The sequence below is a fragment of the Homo sapiens genome, chromosome 6, assembly GCF_000001405.40.
Source record: "Homo sapiens chromosome 6, GRCh38.p14 Primary Assembly".
Classification (NCBI taxonomy): Eukaryota; Metazoa; Chordata; class Mammalia; order Primates; family Hominidae; genus Homo; species Homo sapiens.
In genome coordinates this window covers 150161642-150182826 of record NC_000006.12, presented here as the reverse complement: position 1 = coordinate 150182826, position 21185 = coordinate 150161642, and the positions used below count along the sequence as shown (strand labels likewise).

The window sequence follows — 21185 nt, the reverse complement described above, 5'->3', positions numbered from 1 at the left end:
CTCTATGATGTTCACACATCAACAAAGTCACCTAAGGATGCATTTCTCAGAACATATCCCCATCACTAAGCAAAGCATGGCTGGCTATTGTACCTACTTGGTAACAGCCACTATACTGTGCACCTCACATGTATTATCTCATTTAATCTTCACAATAACGTTATAAGGTAGGTCCATGTCTTTATTATCCCCATTTTATAGTTAAGCAAATAGAGAGTGCTACTATGGACTGAGTGTTTGTGTCCCCCAAAATTCACATAGTGAAGCCCTAACCCCCATAGTGATGACATTAGGACGTGAGACCTTTGGGAGGTTATTAGGTCATGAGAGTGGAGGCCTCATGAATGGATGATCTCTATCTTTCCATGTGAGGATACAGCAAGATGACAGCCATCTGCAAACCAGAAAGTAGGCCCTCACCAAATACCCAATCTACTGGCATCCTAACCTTGGACTTCCCAGCCTCCAGAACTGTGAGAAACACATCTATATTGTTCAAGCTACCCAGGCTATGGTATTTTGTTATAGCAGCCTGAGGCAATTAAAACAGAGAGGTTGAATAATTTGTCTCACGGTACACAGCTTGGAAATAGGGAGGCCAGATTCAAAGCCGGCAGGTCTGGATACAGAGTGCATGCCCATGACCACTACACAGACTAAAGCTGTTCTGCTGACCATAACATGAAAATTATAAATGCATACCAATTTCATGAAAATGGCTGAATTTAGTCAAATGACAAGATTAAGTTTTATGGCTTTTAAATATCCTTTACACACAAGTTAGTTAGCTATATAGTCAATTTGAAATTTGGCATATCCAAAAAAAACTAATTCTTATTCCACCACTGAATCCTATTTCCCACTTCAACTAGCAGCTGCTACGGACGAAGAAGAAGGGGATAAACATACTGCAAATCATTTACTGCAGTAAGTAATTCTATTTCAAGGCAAATTTGAGAAGCAATGAAAAAGAAAACCTGTCGTAGATCAAAATCATAAATAAATCAAGTCACATTTAATGAAAGATCTTAACACATATACACAAAAAGTATGCTATGTTTGTCAAAAAGATGGCTCACACACACTCAAAGCAAACCTAACAGCTTAGCTCTGCAGCAAGTACAATTAAGGGGAAGGACAAAGGCATCTTACTATGTTTAGAAACAAGAAGGCTAAGCGCAGAGCTGACATTTTCCCTAATTAAGATATCAGCAAAAAATTTTTTTAAAAAAACATTATGTGCAAGGAGCCAATTTGAGAAGTGGATTACTTGGGGAACAAGAAATAAAGTAAGCGAAGAGACAGGGCAGCAGAAAAGAACATTGATAGCTAATAATTAAATATTCGAGAACTTTTTTTAATGTTCTACCAGATCATTAGAATTTCTCCTCTAAGGACAACCTGAATCCCAGAGCAGAAATGCCCACCACTGTCCACCAGCTTCCTGAAAAACACCCTTGAATAATAATAACCTCTACAGAAAGATTAGCTGGGTGTGGTGGTGTGTGCCTGTAATTCCAGCTACTCGGGAGGCTGAGGCAAGAGAGTCTTAAACCCGAGAGGTGGAGGTTGCAGTGAGATGAGATCGCGCCACTGCACTCCAGCCTGGTGACATAGTGAGACTCCAGGCCAGCTAATCCTTACCAAGAACACCTCATAGAATGCCAGCCTAACCTGAAGCTCCCAGCCACTATGGATAGACAGACTAAAGCGGGGATAAATACCACACTTCCAAAGGCAGCTCCACTAAATTTCACATTTTAAAAAAGACATCAGTAACCACTCAATTTAAATCTGACCTGAGGGAGGAGCTGTAGTTTCTCTACCTTTCTCTCATCCAGTTAAGCCTACACTTTGACATTGGGTCCTTATTTTGGATGCACTGTAAGAAGAATGTGGACACTAATTTTTCCAGCAACTATGCAGATTTGTACCAGATTGTCTCTTATTTTGTCTAGAGCCCCTGTCAGACCTGCTGATGTAGTCCAGGGTCATCATTCAGCAAGAAAAATCATCTCTCCAAACAACTCAGCTCCAGGCTCCCTTCAAAGTCACACAATCTGAGGCTTTCACCCTTCACTCCGCCCCCACCCCAGCCATGCTCTTAGGGAGCTTCACAGACTGCCTCTCCTGTGTCACCCACTAAAGTGACCACAGGAAGGACCTCAAGACACATGCCTAAAACAACTCTTCCAAGAACAGCTATGACAACACTGACATCAGAGAAAACAACAGGAGGCAAACTGAGGAGCTCATGAGATGTACCCACATGTGCAGAGTTCCTTATATAATGCTGGATGAAACATGGAAGCATTAAATCTTACAGTGCTTAGATTTCATTAAACTACTTTCCCCAAGCCCTGCCACGTATAGCTCTCACAGCCACTCTTTCATGCAGATGCAACTAATATCCCCATCTTACAGATGAAGTAGCTGAGACTCGGGGTTATTTGCCCACAGTCACACAGCTAGAGCTGAGGCCAACACTTGTACCAATCCATACTATACTGTCTCAAACATAATAATAGCTAACATCCACTGAGTGCACCCTATCTACCAGACACTATGCTAATGCTTGACTGCATGAATCATCTCAGTTAATTCTTTCTTGTTTGTTTGTTTTTTGAAATGGAGTCTCACTCTGTCACCCAGGCTGGGGTGCAGTGGCACAATCTCGGCTCACTGCAACCTTCAGATCCCAGGTTCAAGTGATTCTCACGCCTCAGCTTCCTGAGTAGCTGGGATTACAGGCACATGCCACCACTCCCGGCTAATTTTTGTGGTTTTGGTAGAGACAGGGTCTTGTCATGTTGGCCAGGCTGGTCTCAAACTCCTGACCTCAGGTGATCTATCCCCCTCGGCCTCCCAAACAGCTGGAATTATAGGCCGGAGCCACCGTGCCTGGCCCATCTCAGTTAATTCTTACAACATCCCTTTTGTTATCTGTTTCCCCAAAACACACCTTACAAATGAGAAAAACCAAAAAACAGAGTCTAAGTAACTTGCCTAAGATCACACAGTCAGTAATGTGGCAGAGTTGGGACTCAAACTCCTGTCTTTCTCACTCATTCTATGCATGGATATAATTGCTCAGTTTTGTCACAGCTGTATTTGGAAAAAAAAGTTATTTATGTCACCTGTGTAAGAGAGCCTTCATGGATATTATCCCCTTTTTTTTTTTAACAGCCCATGAACCAATGGCAGAGATTAAACATGAGAAAGATGTTTGGGGATTCAGATTCTAATGAAGGGCAGGTCTGCAGAGTTCGTTTCCATTTAAAAACATAGGCCAACGTGGAAAAATCGAGACACTTATCTGGACTCTCTACACCTGGGCTGTCTGTTACCCTCGCTATATAGATAAAGTCTTCATGGCCGACCCTCCCTCCCTCCCTCCCTCCTTTCTTTCTCTCTCTCTCTCTTTCTCTCTTTCTTTCTGTTGGTGTCTCACTCTGCTGCCCAGGCTGGAGTGCAGTGGTGCAATTATAGCTCATCGCAGCCTTGAACCCTTGTATTCCAGCAAACCTCCTGCCTCAGCCTCCTGAGTAGCTAGCACCACCACACCTGGCAAATTTTTATTTTGTATAGAGATAGGGTCTTGCTATGTTGTCCCAGCTGGTACTGAACTCCTGGGCTCAAGCAGCGCCCCTAGCTTGGCCTCCCAAAGTGCTGGGACTACAGGTATGAGCCACCATGCTTGGCGACCACAGTCTCCTTCCTCCCTGGGTCTCCCCAGTGCCTTCCCAGGTTGGTTCCAGGCCTCCCTTCCTCCTAAAAGGAAAAGCATTATAAGGTGTTTTAGGAAGTAGAACAGGCTTCGAAAAACACTTCCATATTCGTAGTGACAGGGAGAGTATAGAAAGCAAAAAAATGCAGCCATCAAACTTTCCCTAGAGAGCTCCCTTCACCTCCAGCATCCATGTATTGAGCTGGTCATCCAAGAGCTACACAGATCCTGTTTATTTCCTCCTCTGCAGATGAAGAAATTTGTCCCCTGTGAGATCTGAAAATCTACACCTAGATGTTTCCCTATTTCAGACAAACCAAGTCCATCTCTTCACCTTAGATTGTCATTTTCATTCCAAGTAATGAAATAAACAACAGTATAAAGACCCTGGTTACTATTTCTGATGCAGTATTTTATGTCATCATGACAGTTGTAATGGCTGGGAGTAGTTTTATCTTTAATGATTCCAAAAAACAAAAGGAGAAATAAAATAGAGCTATGCTTAGGTTGGAGATAAACATCTCTTTGGTTGAGATACTTCACATAGGTCTATAGGTCTAGAAATCAATCGTATTGACTTTACCTGAACTGAAGAAATGAACTTCAAAGGCTGGCCCTGCATATTAGGAGAGGGACACAACCTCACCTGCTGTGACCGCCCTCCTCTCCAATCACACCCACCATCCCCTGACATGCTCCAGCTGGTCTCGCTCCTTGGTCGGCCCACAGAGCCAGCGTCCACTGTCCCCAGGGGCCTCTGTGACAGACTTCTCTGCCTGCATTCAGGGTTTCCTCCAGCCTCTTACACAGGCTAGGTTGTGGGAAAGACCCACTGGACCCCTAGGTCCAGACCTACTACCACTGTTCCCAGATGGGCCCAAGAAAGGTCACAGTAAACCCTGCTGAGGTGGCGCCAGCAACTGACGACAAGATACAGATGGAGTAGGAGGGCACACACAAGGGCAAGGCTCTGCACAAAAGGCCTCGCGGAGGCTGCATGGGGGGTGAGGGCCAGCCGCGGCTCCAGGAGACACACGCACAAGCCCTCTAGGAGACTGTAACTATGACACACAGCTGCCTGGGAACAGCACATTCTTGTGCGAGGTAAAACATTAACCAGTGAGCATCTGGACAATATTTATATCCCCGCTGGGGCTAACCACACAGTGATGAGGGAAAACACACATGCCACAGGGAAGCCCATCTTTCTTGCCTGACGACGGGGCCTCAGGAGATGAGTCTGTCCCGGCCTCTTGTTGGGACAGTCACTGGGGTTCTGCTGCAGTCCGGACTGGCTCAGAGAAAGCGGCCCAGGTCCCACTCCCTGCCTCCCCGACAGCTGTCCTGAGTTGAACCCCAGGCCTCACAGGGTGCTGAATCCAACTGGTCTCCGAGAAGGACAAAAGACTGTGGGACTTTGGGGACAACAATGAGGGAAAGAAGACTGACTCAGAGCTGCTCATGTATTTGCACCCACAGATATGTGTATGTTGAACCCTACCGGGGAGAGAGAGACAGAGAGGGACTGAGGGGGGAAAGGAACAGTAAGGCTATCTGTGACCACCGGATCTGCATGGAAGCTCCACAGGCCCCAAGGCCAGGCCTGAGAACGTGCTACACATGACCCTTCGCTTGCCTTCTCTGCTGTCAACAGACAGGTCCCAGCCTTTTGGTCACACCAGCAAGAATTTTCACTTCTTATCTACCAAGATAGTTTCCTTCCCAATATAAATCTGGCCCCAACACTCACTCCATTAAGTGAGGCCCATATATGGCTCTGAAACTATGACTTCATTTTTTCCCTCTCTTCTCCCCAGATCCTTTCACAGAAACAACAGGTAAAGACAGTCTACCTTAGTTTTTTTGGAGTTGTCAAGTGCACCCCTGTTTTCAAATGGCCACACGGTGCAGGGAAGATCTGTGCTGCTTCCACTGACAACAGAGACTGGCTGAATTGTGCCCAGAGAGCCGTTCACTGTCTACAACATCCACCACAGAGCTACACAGCAAGACATCTCTCAGGAACCAGGGCCAGGCTGAGCCGTGGATATTAGGATTTCTGGTATGGGGAAGGCAGCAAACAGGACGTGGAGTTAGGACACAGGCAGCCAGAAGGTAGGGAGAGACACACAGGGGGAGGCCGGATCACTGGAGGGTGGGACCGGCCCTAAATAACTAGCCCTTCCTCGTGATCTCTCCTCCCTCTTCCTTGAGTGGCCTCATCCGTATAAAACCCATCTCCTTGCCCACAGGGTCTCCCACACGATGAACAGGATTGTCCTGTTTGAAGCCACTCCTTCAGGCCCTCTGCAAACCCAGACACCTGCAGCCACGGCAGGACACTGCCCTTACCTGGGCCTCACTCATTATAACAGCTTAAAGGAAAAAAATCTCACTTCTGTGATCCAAAAGGGATTTGTTTGAATGTGGACTATTTGAGGATGATAATAAAACTCTTCTGGACCAGGGACGCCAATCCACAAATCCACCAAAATAGCAGTAGAAAGACACAGATCATGAATTAGACTAACAGCAGTTCCTTCAAATAAGCTAAGGAAGGTCTCACCTTTATTGAACCCTGAACTTATCTGGTATTTCAAGTAAGACAGCAACAAGATGTTCCTTCTCTGTCCTCTCTTTGACGCTGAGACATACAATGAAGGGGAAAGTTCAGCCTAATCCTAAAGGCATTGACTGGAAGCAGGAAACAAGACAAGAGGTAGTTGCCAAGGAAGCCAGACACAGATTGTACCACGGGCACCCCGCCTCCAACTCGATTGTTAGAAGCAATTCCCAGCTTGGTAACTCATGGAAGCCACGGGCACTCCCGTTGAGAAGATGGGAATCCTTCCAGGGCTGGCCTGCCCAGATAGCCAGTAGGGCTGGCTCCAAGCGCTGCCTAGGTTCTACTGCAATGCCCCACACTCCCTCACCCCGGGGTGCCCACTAGAGCCCTCCTGTTCACCCCAATTATAAGAACACTCTCTCTCCAACAGACAGGTAATTAATCAAGGGATAACCCCCAAGAAAGGGAAAATAACACAAGATCACATCAGCTCACTGTTCTAAGTATCCCCAGTGGAATTCTGAATTCCCCTTTAGTAGAGTCACTTATGACAGGTGTGGCCGGTTTAGAGATCCTGTTACCAGGGAGAGAAGTACAAGATATTCAGGGCCTGCTGAAGAAGACTGGCCAAGCAAACAGTGTTATAAAACACCACGGGTAGATTGCGCTTGTGGTTCAAACTGCATTTTCCCAAACAGGCCAGATTGGGATATGACATCTAGGTTTTATTTTAACTGGTTCTGCTGAGAAAACACCAGCCTCATACCTAGCACAGTCAAGAGCCATGGGTTATGTTATCCAATAACACTGGGTTAGATACTGTCAAATGATTAAGCCTTTGACTAGGGAAATCATACAAAGCAACAGTTCTGGTAATTACCCACCGTCTGTACCTGGGCACCACCAGGGAGATGTCAAAGTAACTTCCTTGCATTTGGAAATGCCCTCACCAGCCCCATGCTCAAGAGTTCACTTTTATTGTTGAAGTAATATTTTACAAAGGAAATTACTAACTAGTCATAAAGAGCAGAGAGTTAAATATTTATAAGGACTCACAATATTAACAGATTCACTTTCCCAAAAACATATTCAACATATCAGAGCTCTGCATCCTTAGTAAATGACCACTGTGATTTTACACAGAAAAAGAGGGAAGCACTGGGTCCATGTGTGACCTCTGCTAAGAGATCCCACTGAAGCAGATCCAAGAGACCCAGCTCAGAGTGGGGGCCCCTTCCAACTCCACCACCTTCTCCACGGCTCTCAGCAAGTTACTGGACTTCTTCCTGCCTGGTTCCATCGCTACAATGGGACCAGAAATAGCATCCACCTCACAGGTTTATTAAGAGGATGAAAGGAGTTAACATGGGCAAGCCTTAGAACAGCCCAGCACATAATAAGCACTATGTGAGCTACTACTGTTATTGTTGTTTCTGGTTTTATTATTTGGTCAACACGGATTAAATGTCATAGTGGTATCATAAACAATGTTCAAGCCAATTGATCATATGTTTCAAATATGAGAGCAAAAAAGAAACATCCTCTTCACTACTTTTTTTTTTTTTTTTGAGACAGAATCTCCCTCGGTCGCCCAGGCTGCAGTGCAGTGGCATGATCTCAGCTCACCGCAACCTCCGCCTCCCGGGTTCAAGCAATTCTCCTGTCTCAGCTTCCTGAGTAGCTGGGATTACAGGCGTGCGACACCATGACCAGCTAATTTTTTGTGTATTTTCAGTAGAGATGGCGTTTCACCGTATTGGCCAGGCTGGTCTCGAACTCCTGACCTTGTGATCCGTCCACCTCCACCTCCCAAAGTGCTGGGATTACAGGCGTGAGCCACTGCGCCCAGCTTTCACTACTTATTATTAAATGATATTCCAGGAAATTATATTTATTTAAAACACACCGTTGAACACTGAATATCTGCCAGGCCTTCCAGAGGACAGAATATATTATAAGCCAATGTTCCTACCCTCTAGGAGCTTACAGTCGAATTGAGAAGATAAAAATGCACACACGGCCAGGCGTGGTGGCTCACGCCTGTAATCCCAGCACTTTGGGAGGCCAAGGTGGGCGGATCACAAGGTCAGGAGATCGAGACCATCCTGGCTAACACGGTGAAACCCCATCTCTACTAAAAATACAGATTACCTGGGAGTGGTGGGGGGCACCGGTAGTCCCAGCTACTCAGGAGGCTGAGGCAGGAGAATGGTGTGAACCCAGGAGGCAGAGCTTGCAGTGAGCCGAGATCGCACCACTGCACTCCAGCCTGGGCGACAGAGGGAGACTCATAGCATTTCTTTGTAATTGATTTATAAATACCAAGAAGTATGGGTAAGTTAGTAAGTGTTCTCACAATTTAGAAAATGGTAAGTATGTGAGGTGATGAATATGCTAATTAGCTTGATTTAATCATTTCACAACGTATGCACCTATCAAAGCATCATGTCTGTACACTGCAAGTATATATAATTATTATTTTTCAATAATACCTTAACAAATCTCGGGGGTGGGGGGGAGGGAGAGGTGCCAAATAAGCAAATTGATTTCAGCCTAAAACAAAAGACCTCATGGAGACGGGGTTCAAGTTGGGCTTTGAAGGATGGGCAGGACTAAGACAGAGGAAGCTTTGAGGATGGGGGATCCTGGGAATGGCGTGAGCAGAACTCACGAGGCTATCCTGAAGTTGAGATGAGAGATTGGGGTGCTTAGGAGCCTCAGGTCTGCAGTCTTGGGCTCCCATGTCCTGGCTGAGTGACCATGGGCCAGTTCCATAAGCCTCTGCGGGCCTCCATTCCTAGCGCTGGCTGGCATCGGCATTATTCTGAAGACTGAACAAGATAAAGCACGTTAGGAAAACACAGTGAGAACCAGGCATCCTCAGGTATTAAACAGAGTTAAAGAGACTCATCTGTCTGCCAAGAGACCCACCTGTCTGCAGAAGAAGGCTGAAATTGGAAAGTAGTGCAAGACCAAGTTGGAAAGTTACAAAGGAGGGCTGTAGTGAGCTCAGACTTCATTCAGGGAGAGATCTGAGCCCCCTGAGAAGAGTCATTTTTACAGTGGCCTCTCCGAGCAGCATGTATACAGCAAGGTGGGAGAATCTGGGGAAGGGAGTCCAGGAGAGGGTGCCAAAGGCTCCACATGAGTGGAAAAGGCTGGGCCCGGGCACTCACCATAGGGATGGAAAAAAAAAAGGGTAAGGATAAGAGACCAGATTAGGTGGTGCCAAGTGTGGGAGAAAATGAGAGGAGCTGAAAACCAACTCCACTCATGCAATGTGGTTTCCTAGAAGACATGCTAGAAGAGACAGGGCATTCGTGGAAAAAATGGGGAGATCTCAATAAAGATTGTCATTAGCTACCTTGTACCATTGCTGATTTCTTAGTGTCGAGAAATGCACAGGAAAATGTCAACATTGGAGGAAGCTGGGTGAAGGGTACATGGGGAAAACTCTGTGCTTTCTTTGCAAATCTGTAAATTAAAATTATTTCAAAACACAAAAAAAACTCCAGGTCTATTTGGGTGGCTCATCACATCATCAATGAAGAGGGAGGCCAGGCAAGCAGCAGTTTGGAGGTGGATGGGGAGTTGACTGAGTGGCTTATAAGGCAGCATGGCTGATGGGAAGACCAAGGCCTTGCTCACACCTTGACTGTGAGAGCGACCTTGTAACCTACATCCAGCCATGTGAGGCCTCTGGATGCATCTGGCCTCCTGGGGAGGAGGAGTCATCTCCTGTTACTATCCTCATTCTTTGTCCCCAGTCGGTCTCCCCACATCAGTTACAGCACCCCTCAAACCCCCTGCTTCCAGTTTCAGCAACTCTGCCCACCAGGAGAAGTGTCAGATGGCACTTCCAAAGAACTTCATTTTCAGGCCAAGAAGCTTCTATTCTGAGGCCCACAATAAACCAAGGCTTCATAAGAAAAGAAAGAATATGCCTAACATCAGCTCTCAATAGCTAAATGATGAATTGAGTAAGTCACACACCCAGTGATGCTCAGAGCTGGGGATCTGCACTCAGCTGTACCTCGCTCTCTATCTCTACCCGCCTCCCCACCTGCACCACAGGGCCTTGCACAGTAGGCCAGGAATGGTCTGGTGCATTAACACACACACACAAAAACACAGCTTTACAAAAGAGCTTCACCTTGTCATAAAAGCACCAATGCTGGGGGTTACAGAGATCTTCTAAAAAGCTGTCTAGTCTCCCTGGCCTAGGGAAGGAATCTAATATTTCCCATCTAGAGTGACTTTAACCATTAGTTCTGAATGTCAATGCCATATAATGAATAGAGAGATTATCTATAACCCGTCTAATGATGAATTACCCATCTGCAAAGGGTTCCCAGCTATAACCACTTTATAGATAGGTGATGAATACATAACATAAATTCTTCAGCAAAGAAAGGGAGAGACTCTGGGCCGGGTGCAGTGGCTCACACCTGTAATCCCAGCACTTTGGGAGGCCAAGGCGGGCGGATCACTTGAGGTCAGGAGTTTGAGAACAGCCTGGCCAATGTGGCAAACCCCGTCTCTACTAAAAATACAAAAAAAAAGAGCAGGGCATGGTGGCGGGAACCTGTAATCCCAGCTACTCAGGAGGCTGAGGCAGGAGAACCATTTGAACCCGGGAGGCAGAGGTTGCGGTGAGCCAAGACCGCACCACTGCACTCCAGCCTGGGTGAGAGCAAGACTCCGTCTCAAAAAAAAGAAAAAAGAAAAAAAGAAATGGAGAAATTCTGAATGCTGATAAACATTTGTTGATTTCACTTAATGACATGGTTCTGTGATCTTTAAATTCATCCCTACTTAAATAAAATATGTCTTGTGCTAAATTATGAAATCAGAAATCAGGCTGTTTGCATGAGAATAAAATTAGAGAAGAACAAGAGAAAGAGACGAAATTCCAGTCCCAGTTTGCAGCCTGAAGAAAATCACTTAACTTTCAAATGTGTGCGTCAATCACAGATTCTGTGTGGAGACGTGAGAAATCTGAGCAGCAGTGGCCCTGAAAGATCCTTTTACCATGCTATAGATGGAATCAGTGTGTCAGGCAGAAAGGTCAGGACAGAAGATCTCTCGGGTCTCTTTTAAATGTGAGCTTCTGGGATTCTCCTTATAAAAGAGTTAGATTGTTGTTATGCTCAAACAAAATTACAGAGAATCCCTCAACTATAAGATATTAGGTATGTACAATGGTGTGCTGAATGGAGCTGGCTTGTACCAGCTCACTAGAGACCACTGTTAAATTTTCAGGAATTTTATAAGCCAGCTGTCAAACACAATAACGAGAGAATGTTCAGGTCAGTGGAACTCCTCTGTAAACTACCATGGTGGGTACATGTCATTAAACATTTGTCCAAACCCATGGAATGTACAGCACCTTGAGTGGACCCTCATGTAAACTATGCACTTTGGGTGATAATGGTGTGTCAACGTAGGTTCATCGATTGTGACCAATGTACCGCTCCAATGGAGGGTCACGCCGGGGGAGTTGGTGGGGAGGCTGTGTTGGGGGACTGGGCAGAGAGTACATAGGAAAGGTACCTTCCTCTCAATTTTACTGTGAATCTAAAACTGCTCTAAAAAACAGATTTAAAATTTTTTAAATGTATTTTGTAAAAAAATGTTAAATAAAAGTTAATTTTATAGTCATAAAAAATAATAAGACCATATCACTTCCCTGCATAAAAGCTATCATACTCAGGAACAAAATTCAAATTCCTTACCATTAAAAAAAAAAAAAAAAGAGTCGTACTGTAACCTACAAGGCTCTGTTTCTTCTAACCTCATCACGTATCACTCTTCTCTCTCATTTCCCTAGAATGTAAAACCCACAAGGAAGGGAAGTGATTTTTGTCTCTTTGGTCTACTTCGATATCACGGGTGCTTAAAAGGTAACTAGCAGCCGGGCGCAGTGGCTCACGCCTGTAATTCCAGCACTTTGGGAGGCCGAGGCGGGCGGATCACGAGGTCAGGAGATCAAGACCATCCTGGCTAACACATTGAAACCCCATCTCTACTAAAAATACAAAAAAATTAGCCAGGCATGGTGGCAGTCGCCTGTAGTCCAGCTACTCAGGAGCCTGAGGCAGAAGAATGGCGTGAACCTGGGAGGCAGAGCTTGCAGTGAGCCAAGATCGCGCCACTGCACTCCAGCCTGGGAGACAGAGTGAGACTCCATCTCAAAAAAAGAAAAAAAAAAAAAAAGTAACTAGCACATGACAAAAGTGTAATGAGTATGTGTTGAATTCAGTTCTCATCACCCATATTTTCTTATTCTTTCTTGTGTGGCAGATTGTATTTTCCAAAACTGGCTTCAACAATATTTCCCATTCCACTTCCCTTCCTCACAAGGTGATCTCACTTGACTTTCCTCCCATCAGAAGGTAAAATCTATGTTCCTTTTCCTTGAAGCCTTGTTAGAACTGTGATTAGAACAGAAGCAATACTATGTGACCTCCAAGGCAAAGTCATTAAAAGCAATACAACTTCTTCCTGATCGTATTGAGATGTTTACTCCAGAGCCCAGTCCCCATACAGCAAGGAAACCGAAATAGCACATGGAAAAGCCTGTATGCTGAAGAGCTGACACAATGGCCCATGGCCCCAACAGTTTGCAGAGTAAGTCATGTTGAAAATACATACTCAGGCCCTAAGTTTGCCACATCAATTAATTCCCCATGAGGCAGAGATGAGTCACCCCCAACAAATGATGCACAAATCAGATTTGCAAGCAAAATAAATGATAGTCATTTCTTAAGCCACTAAGATGTGGGGGAGTTTGTTGCATGGTATTGGTAATTAGTAAACCTTGGTTCATTCTACTTTCAGCTTCTTCCCGCTTCGGCCTTTTCATGTTCGATTTCATCAGCCTAGAATTTTCTTCATTCACAATTCACTTGTCCTGTGCCTTCACCTTATGCAGGTCTCTGCTTTTGACACCTTCTCTTTTACTCAACCATTGGGTTTAGCAGCATCTAACAACAACGACAACCTTTTAACAGCAGTTTGGAGACTAAATATGATTTTTTTTCTGCCATATACAGAGAAGTCCAACATAGTTGGATATTGGCATTTGTTCAACAGTTCAAAGACGTCATATGTAAGTTCTTATTTTATTGTTTCTATTTTTAATTTTTTTTCCTCTTCTACTTACATTTCAGGAAGTAAGGAAAAAGACAAGTTTCCCATGACAACAGAATCAGTTACCATTAAATTATTATTCAAAAACTCCATGCAGTGAATTCATTTCACTGGTCAAAATTTGTCATAGGATCACCTCTAACTATAATGGAAGGTTAGATATTTTTAAGGAGTGTAAAATATCTTATTGATAATTTTATATTGAGGCTGGGCACGGTGGCTCACGCCTGTAATCCCAGCACTTTGGGAGGCCACGATGGGTGGATCGCCTGAGCTCAGGAGTTCGAGACCACCCTGGGCAACATGGTGAAACCCCATTTCTACTAAAGTACAAAAAATTAGCTGGGTGTGGTGGCGCGTGCCGATAGTCCCAGCTACTTGGGAGGCTGAGGCAGGACAATGACTTGAGCCTGGGAGGCAGATGTTGCAGTGAGCCAAGATCGCACCACTGCACTCCAGCTTGGGCTACAGAGTGAGAATCTGTCTCAAATAATAATAATAATTTTCTATCGATATGTTAAAATGATAATATTTTTGATACATTGAGTTAAATGTTACTAAATTTTTAAATTAAATTATATAATTGTATAAGAAGAGTAATTATATAATAAAGTTGTAAATACTCAAAACATGACTTTCTGATTATTTGGTGTTATCTGCCTATTCTTACGCTCTTAAGGTTACTTCCATCTCCTGCATCTGTATGGAGGAAGTACTTGTCCCTGCTCCTCCCCAGGGACTTCACAATGGTCACCTGAAATCAACCATGGCGAGGACTTACACTAAGGAAACTGGGCTGCTGTGAATCAAGGGTTTTTTTGTTTTGTTTTGTTTTGTTTTGTTTTGTTGAGACGGGAGTCTCGCTCTTTCGCCCAGGCTGGAGTGTAGTGGCGCTATCTCGGCTCACTGCAAGCTCCGCCTCCCGGGTTCACGCCATTCTCCTGCCTCAGCCTCCCAAGTAGCTGGGACTACAGGCGCCCGCCACTACGCCCAGGTAATCTGTATTTTTAGTAGAGACGGGGTTTCACCATGTTAGCCAGGATGGTCTCGATCTCCTGAGCTCGTGATCTGCCCGCCTCGGCCTCCCAAAGTGCTGGGATTACAGGCGTGAGCCACCGCGCCCGGCCGAATCAAGGGATTTTTTTCTCCCATGAGAGCCAGTTGTTAAACTTTCACCAGCAACTCACTGCATATATGTGAACCTCAAAGACAAAAAAAAAAAAAAAAAAAAGGGACGCTGTATTGTGTTAGGGAGAAGGAGTGGGGGAGGGAAGTAAAAGGGGAAGTGAAAACGGAAAGGGAGAGAGCAAGGTGGGAGGGGAGTGGGGGAGAGGAGAGTCGGGAGGGGAGGGGCCGCAGAAAGGGTGGGAGGAAAGCAAGGGGGAGAGGAAGAGGGGAGGAGAGAAGGAGAGAAAGAGGGGAGGAGAGAAGGGGAGAACGGAGACATGGAGAGAAAGGGGGAGTTCTTTTATGTGTTTAGTATCCCAAGGAAAACAAGGGTTCTATATATGTAAATTATTTCAGATAACTAGTATTCAACTCTTTTTCTTCAAATCTCTCTAAGGGATTCCTCGTGTGCCTGCCTTTGGGGTCTGAATGGCTCAGGTCACTCCTGTGGCCAGGCGTCCTGCCACACTGCCTCTCGGGACACGCTCCAGGCTGCAACAGGCTCAGAGCTCTCTGCCTTATACAGTATATAAGACAGCTCTGGTCTTCCGAGCTTTTTATAGATGCTCTGTCTCCTCCCTTACTGTCAGGCTGTCAGCTGTCACTTCTAGATGTTCTCCCAGAACGTATACCTAGCAGCCTAGTTTGTTGCTTCTAAATCTAGTGAACTAAAAAAGCAGAAAACCAAACTTGTTAGAAATGTGGCTAAAGTAAGAGCACAGAAGCTCTACATGGAAGCCCAAGGACCTCTGTAATAAATCAAGAACATACCCCAGCATACCCCAAAATATCGTATCTCTTTAGGGTCTCAAAGCTACTCTTTCTGCTTTTTGTTTTTTTCCCCCCCGAGACGGAGTCTTGCTCTGTCACCCAGGCTGGAGTGCAGTGGTGCGATCTCGGCTCACCTCAACCTCTGCCTCCTGGGTTCAAGCAATTCTCCTGCCTCAGCCTCCTGAGTAGCTGGGATTACAGGTGTGTGCCACCATGCCCAGCTAATTTTTTTGTATTTTTAGTAGAGATGGGGTTTGCCATGTTGGCCAGGCTGGTCTCAAACTCCTGACCTCAAGTGATCCGCCCGCCTCGGCCTCCCAAAGTGCTGGGATTACAGGCGTGAGCCACCGCGCCCGGCCTAATGTTTGTATTTTTAGTAGAGATGAGGTTTCACCATGTTGGCCAGGCTGTTTTTGAACTTCTAACCTCAAGGGATTCACCCGCCTTGGCCTCCCAAAGTGCTAGGATTACAGACGTGAGCCACCGCGCCTGGCCTCTTTCTGCTTTCCTTTAGGTTCCTTCACTCGGTTCCAAATGACTGGAGTTACAAAATTCCTGACTTCAAGGTTGGTGAGGTTTCACTAAATATATAAAATATTCACCTGAGACAAGCTGAAAATGAAATTGGACATGATATTAACTAAATAAGAACGAGAATCACAGTCCCATCACGGAAGTAACATTCACAAGCACCAGCCACCCTGTTCCCTTAGCAATCTGCTTCCTCCTCCTGAGGCAGGCCTGCTAGGAGGCTGCCTCTCCCAGTGGCCTCAAAAGGCTTCAGAGCAGCTCAAACTGCAGCCACCAGACATGGGCAGTGGTGGACAATAAGTGCTGGCGGAGGCAGCCCCATTTTCCAACAGCTACCGCCTGGAGCTGGCCCCAGTTTGGGGATCTGCTTGTCCCCTGCCCCTCTTTGTTCATATCCCCAGAGGAAAGGAGGAACAAAGAGACCCTGGGACATAACCCCAGCCCCTGGTGTCACCAAGCAAGATGGTACCATGGGAGAAGCCTCTAGGGCTCTTTTGTTCCCCAGAGGGCAGTTACCAAGAAGAGCAGCATTTGGCTGGGCGCGGTGGCTCAGGCCTGTAATCCCAGCACTTTGGGAGGCCGAGGCGGGTAGATCATGAGGTCAGGAGATCGAGACCATCCTGGCTAACATGGTGAAACCCCATCTCTACTAAAAATACAAAAAATTAGCCGGGCGTGGTAGCGGGCGCCTGTAATCCCAGCTACTCAGGAGGCTGAGGCAGGAGAATGGCATGAATCCGGGAGGCGGAGCTTGCAGTGAGCCGAGATAGCGCCACTGCACCCCAGCCTGGACAACAGAGGGAGACTCAGACTCCGTCTCAAAAAAAAAAAAAAGAAGAAGAAGAGCGGTATGTGGCATGTGACACATGGTATATGGCACGTGGCCCACTCACAATGCGATCTGGTGTACTGGCACTGACTGGCACATCCAGAGTCCACACCAACCTCCTGAAAATGCATTCCTCTATTTTTCTAAACTTGGTCTTTGGTCTGGCACTAAATTTTGAAAATGAGAAAAGTACTTAACTTCTCGCTGAATTCACTGTGTGAAATACTGCACTTCACATTTATTTTCATCTCTTTTTCTTTGTAGGGTTTTGTTTGTTTTAAAATAGTCTGATAGCAACATAAAAGCTCTAATTCTTAGGCCTGTTGCCTGTTTATCTAGGCTGTCACACACAAAAATTTTAAATAACTATAACAGAACAATAAAGCTACCCTCAAAATAGAGGAAAATTCTCAAAATTACCCTCCTTGCACTGAGTGTTTAACTTGTAAAGAAAGAAACAACAAATGTTCTAAAATTAAAAATAGAAACTCTGGAAATAATCCTATTATTTTAGTTCTACTTTATGCCTGCCACATAGTAGGCCCATAAAAGATATTTATTGCATGACTGGCTGGATGGTTAAATAGATTCATTACTGCCAACTGGACAACCTGAGGTCAACCAGCCTTCCCCAAGGACTTTAGCCAGCAGAACTGGTCCAGAAACATATTTGGGCCTAGAGAAGAAATGTAATTAACTAGGCAAGTCAAGTCTTCTCTAACACAAAATCTGAGTATCTTTTCTTGGACTGGGAGCCCAGATATTTTAAAACTCTTGCCTAAAGGCAAGTTCAGACCTGTCCACCAACCAGCTGATATTTATTGAATATTTACAGCACAGGGGCCACTGCCAGGAAATGAAGATGGAGTATAGTGAGCAAGACAGAAAGGCTCTACCTAATATTAGAACATACTCACTAGAATCTATATAGAGCCAAACATACAAGGTCTCCTGTCTTAGTCAGTTTGGGCTGCTTTAACAGACTACCACAGACTGGTGGTTTAAACAACAGAAATATATTTCTCACCATTCTGGAAGCTGGGAAGTTCATCAAGGTACCACACAGATCCTATGTCTGGTGAGAGCCAGCTTCCTGGTTTGCAGATGGCTAACTTCTCAATGTGTCCTCCCATGATGGAGTGCAGAGAAAGAGAGCTCTCTTGTGTCTTTTATAAGGGCACTAATCCCATTCATGAGTGCTCCACCCTCAGGACATAATCACCTCCGAAAGGCCCCTCTCCCAATAGTATAATACTGGGGCTTAGGATTCCAACATATAAATTTTAGGGGGATATAAACATTCAATCTACGGTATCCCCTTATTTGTAACTACAGTGTAGTGAGGGAAGATGATCTTTAAATGAATGGTGCTGGGTCAACTGGGTGTTCCAAATTCAGGTCAGATGGGTCATGTGCCAATGTTGTAACAAGGTTCAAGGCTGGCACATTTCACACATGCATGTGAACACCCAATCATCATGCTATGAACTACAAAAGGATCATGAATCGTAATCTCTACATTATACCACACATAAAAATGAATTTCAGATGGATTACAGATCTATATATAAAAGGTAAAATAATGAAGCATCAAAAAGGTAACACAGAAAAACATTTTCATGACCTTGTAGCAGACAAAGTTTTCTTAAATAGGTTGAAAATGTACCAAATATAAAGGAAAAAGCTGACAAATTGGAAAATATTAAGATTAAGAACTTCTGTGCCTCAAAAGTCACCATTCAGAGAGTGAAAAAGGCAGTTCACCAAGTGGGACACATATTTCTGACAAAGGACTCATATCTAGACTGTAAGAGATCAATGTCCAGGATATATAAAAGACAACCCAAACCCAAAGTTGTTGTTTTTTCTCTTTGAAATGGGCAAAAGAATTGAACAAGCACTTCACAAAGAGGATATCCAAAGGCCAGTAAACATATGAAAAGGGGCTGGACTTGACTAGCCATCAGGTAAATGTAAATTCGAACCATAATGCAACACCACTATATTACATAACAGACGGCTAAATGAAAAAGTCAGAAAATAACAAGCGTAGGTAAGGATGGGAAACAATCAGAACTTTCATATAGTGCAGTGGGCATGTAGATTGGTGCAATTACTTAAGAAATCATCTGACAGTACCTAGCAATGCTGAATATACACGTACTCTATAAGCCAGCAATTTTGCCACTCTGTATATAAGCCAACAGAAATGCAGACATAGGTTCACCAAAAGACATACGCAATAATATTCTCGGGAGCTCAATTCAGAATAGCTCAAAACTGAAGGCCTCCCAAATGTCCATCAAAAGTAGAATCGATAAAAAAACAACTGTGGTGTATTCACACATGGAGTACTATGTGGCAACTGAAATGATCAAACCTCAAATGACATGCAACAATGTGGGTGTATCTCACACATCTAATGTTGAACAACAACAACAACAAAAAAACAGACATAAAAGCTTTTAAGAAGGTAAAATTAATCAGATGACCTTGGAGGGAGGGAAGGGGGCTGATAATGGGATAAGCACACACGAGGGACCCCTGCAGTGCTGGCACTATTCCATTTCCTGATCTGGAAGGTGGGTGGGTTCAATTTGACAAAATTCATCAACTGTGCACTTACACTTGGGTTTTGTGTACTTTGTATGTTATACTACAATAAAAAGTTTTTTGTTGTTGTTGTTGTTTTTGAGACGGAGTCTTGCTCTGTCGCCCAGGCTGGAGTGCAGTGGTGCGATCTCCGCTCACTGCAATCTCCGCCTCCCAGGTTCACGCCATTCTCCTGCCTCAGCCTCCCGAGTAGCTGGGACTACAGGCGCCCGCCACCATGCCCGGCTAATTTTTTGTACTTTTAGTAGAAACGGGGTTTCACCATGTTAGCCAGGATGGTCTCGATCTCCTGACCTCGTGATCCGCCTGCCTCGGCCTCCCAAAGTGCTGGGATTACAGGTATGAGCCACCGCGCCTGGCCTACAATAAAAAGTTTTTAAGAAAATACTCTCATTCATGTCTTTACCTCACAGTACTTTCTGTTCCTAGTCCCTTGGCCATGCCAAGATTCATCCTGCCAGAGGGTGTTTGCATTAACTGAGCCCAGTATGTCCCCCCAGGGCTTTGCACACCGCTGGTGCCATCTCTCATCATGCAGGCTCAGATACAAATGCAATGAACTTCCTCAAAGAAGCCCTTCCTGGCCCCACTAACCTGGCCACAGTCTCTCACTCATTATCCTATTAGCTTTATTTTTTTCCTAGCACTACTCGTGAGCTGAAGCCATTCTGATTTATTCATTTGCATTTGTTTTTAAGAGCACAGGGACTCTTTCGCTGTTGTATCCTAAGCACCTGTGTCCCTAGCACCTAAAAGTGCATGTGGCATTTTGACCTCACTAATTTCAAATTTATATCCAAACAAAAGTCCACCCACACGTGTTTATACCAGGCTTTCTCATAATCATCAAAAACTGAAGCAACCAAGATGTCCTTCAAGAGCCAAGTGGATAAACTGTGGTACATTTGTACAATGGCATCTTATTCAGCCATAAAAAGATGGAGCTATCAAGTCACAAAAAAACCACGGATGAATCTTAAATGTATATTGTGTAGTGAAAGAAGTTAGTCTGAAAATGCTGTATACTGTATGATTTCAATTATATGACATACTGGAAAAGGCAAAACGATAGCAATAGGAAAGAGATCAGTGGTTCAGGAAGAAATGGCAGAGGTTGGCCTGGCACGGTGGCTCACGCCTATAATCCCAGCACTTTGGGAGGCCCAGGTGGGCAGATCACCTGAGGTCAGGAGTTCGAGATCAGGCTGGCCAACATGGCGAAACCCCGTCTCTACTAAAAATACAAAAATTAGCTGGATGTTGAGGCGCACGCCTGTAGTCCCAGCTGCTCGGGAGGCTGAGGCAGAAGAATCACTTGAACCCAGGAGGCAGAGGTTGCAGTGAGCTCAGATCACACCACTGCACCCAGCCTGGGTGACAAACCAAGACTCCGTCTCAAAAAAAAAAAAGAAAAAAGAAAAGAAAATAAACGGAGGGGGGTAAATGGATAAAGCACAGGAGATATTTATAGGGGGTGCAACTGTTCTGTATGATACTGCAAGGGTGGATACGTGACACTCTGCATTTGTTAAAGTCCATAGGACTGACTACACAAAGAATGAATCTTAATGTACAATGTAAGCAAATTTAAAAAGTCATTTAGGAGATTGGGGGATCCCAGGATGGAATGCAGAATGTGACAAAACAATCTATCTATATTACAAATGTATGCAACAACCTCACTGAAGGGGATAGGGGAAAAGGGTACTGACCTAAGTAACTAGAAATAAGTAGAGTCTGTTAAAATCAAATGTAAAAGGAGTGCATATAAGCGCCATCTTCTAGTTGATAAAGTTGTTTCCCATAGGGATTGAGTTAACAATTCTGAT

General features: G+C 44.8%; 1 protein-coding gene and 1 non-coding gene across 2 annotated transcripts in view, besides 3 other annotated features; both read right to left on the bottom strand.

The window, feature by feature from the left end:
• PPP1R14C (protein phosphatase 1 regulatory inhibitor subunit 14C) overlaps positions 1-21185 on the bottom strand; it is a 107349-nt gene that overhangs the window by 67566 nt on the left and 18598 nt on the right. The window lies entirely within an intron of this gene.
• Positions 4362-7280: an enhancer, noted in NCBI's record as "VISTA enhancer hs1922". NCBI's record gives its function as "enhancer in: heart[11/13]" and the evidence as "EXISTENCE:transgenic organism evidence [ECO:0001131][PMID:17130149]".
• Positions 12558-13757: an enhancer, noted in NCBI's record as "CDK7 strongly-dependent group 2 enhancer chr6:150490206-150491405 (GRCh37/hg19 assembly coordinates)". NCBI's record gives its function as "activates an origin of replication core promoter dependent on BRD2, BRD4, P300/CBP, MED14 and CDK7 cofactors, with strong dependence on CDK7, by STARR-seq in HCT116 cells {active_cell/tissue: HCT116}" and the evidence as "EXISTENCE:reporter gene assay evidence [ECO:0000049][PMID:35650434]".
• Positions 14408-14457: a silencer, noted in NCBI's record as "silent region_17676". NCBI's record gives its function as "represses an Ori minimal core promoter by ATAC-STARR-seq in GM12878 lymphoblastoid cells {active_cell/tissue: GM12878}" and the evidence as "EXISTENCE:reporter gene assay evidence [ECO:0000049][PMID:35858748]".
• LOC124901527 (small nucleolar RNA U13) lies at positions 18141-18243 on the bottom strand. Its single transcript, XR_007059958.1, has one exon. It is a non-coding gene; the product is annotated as a small nucleolar RNA U13 (small nucleolar RNA).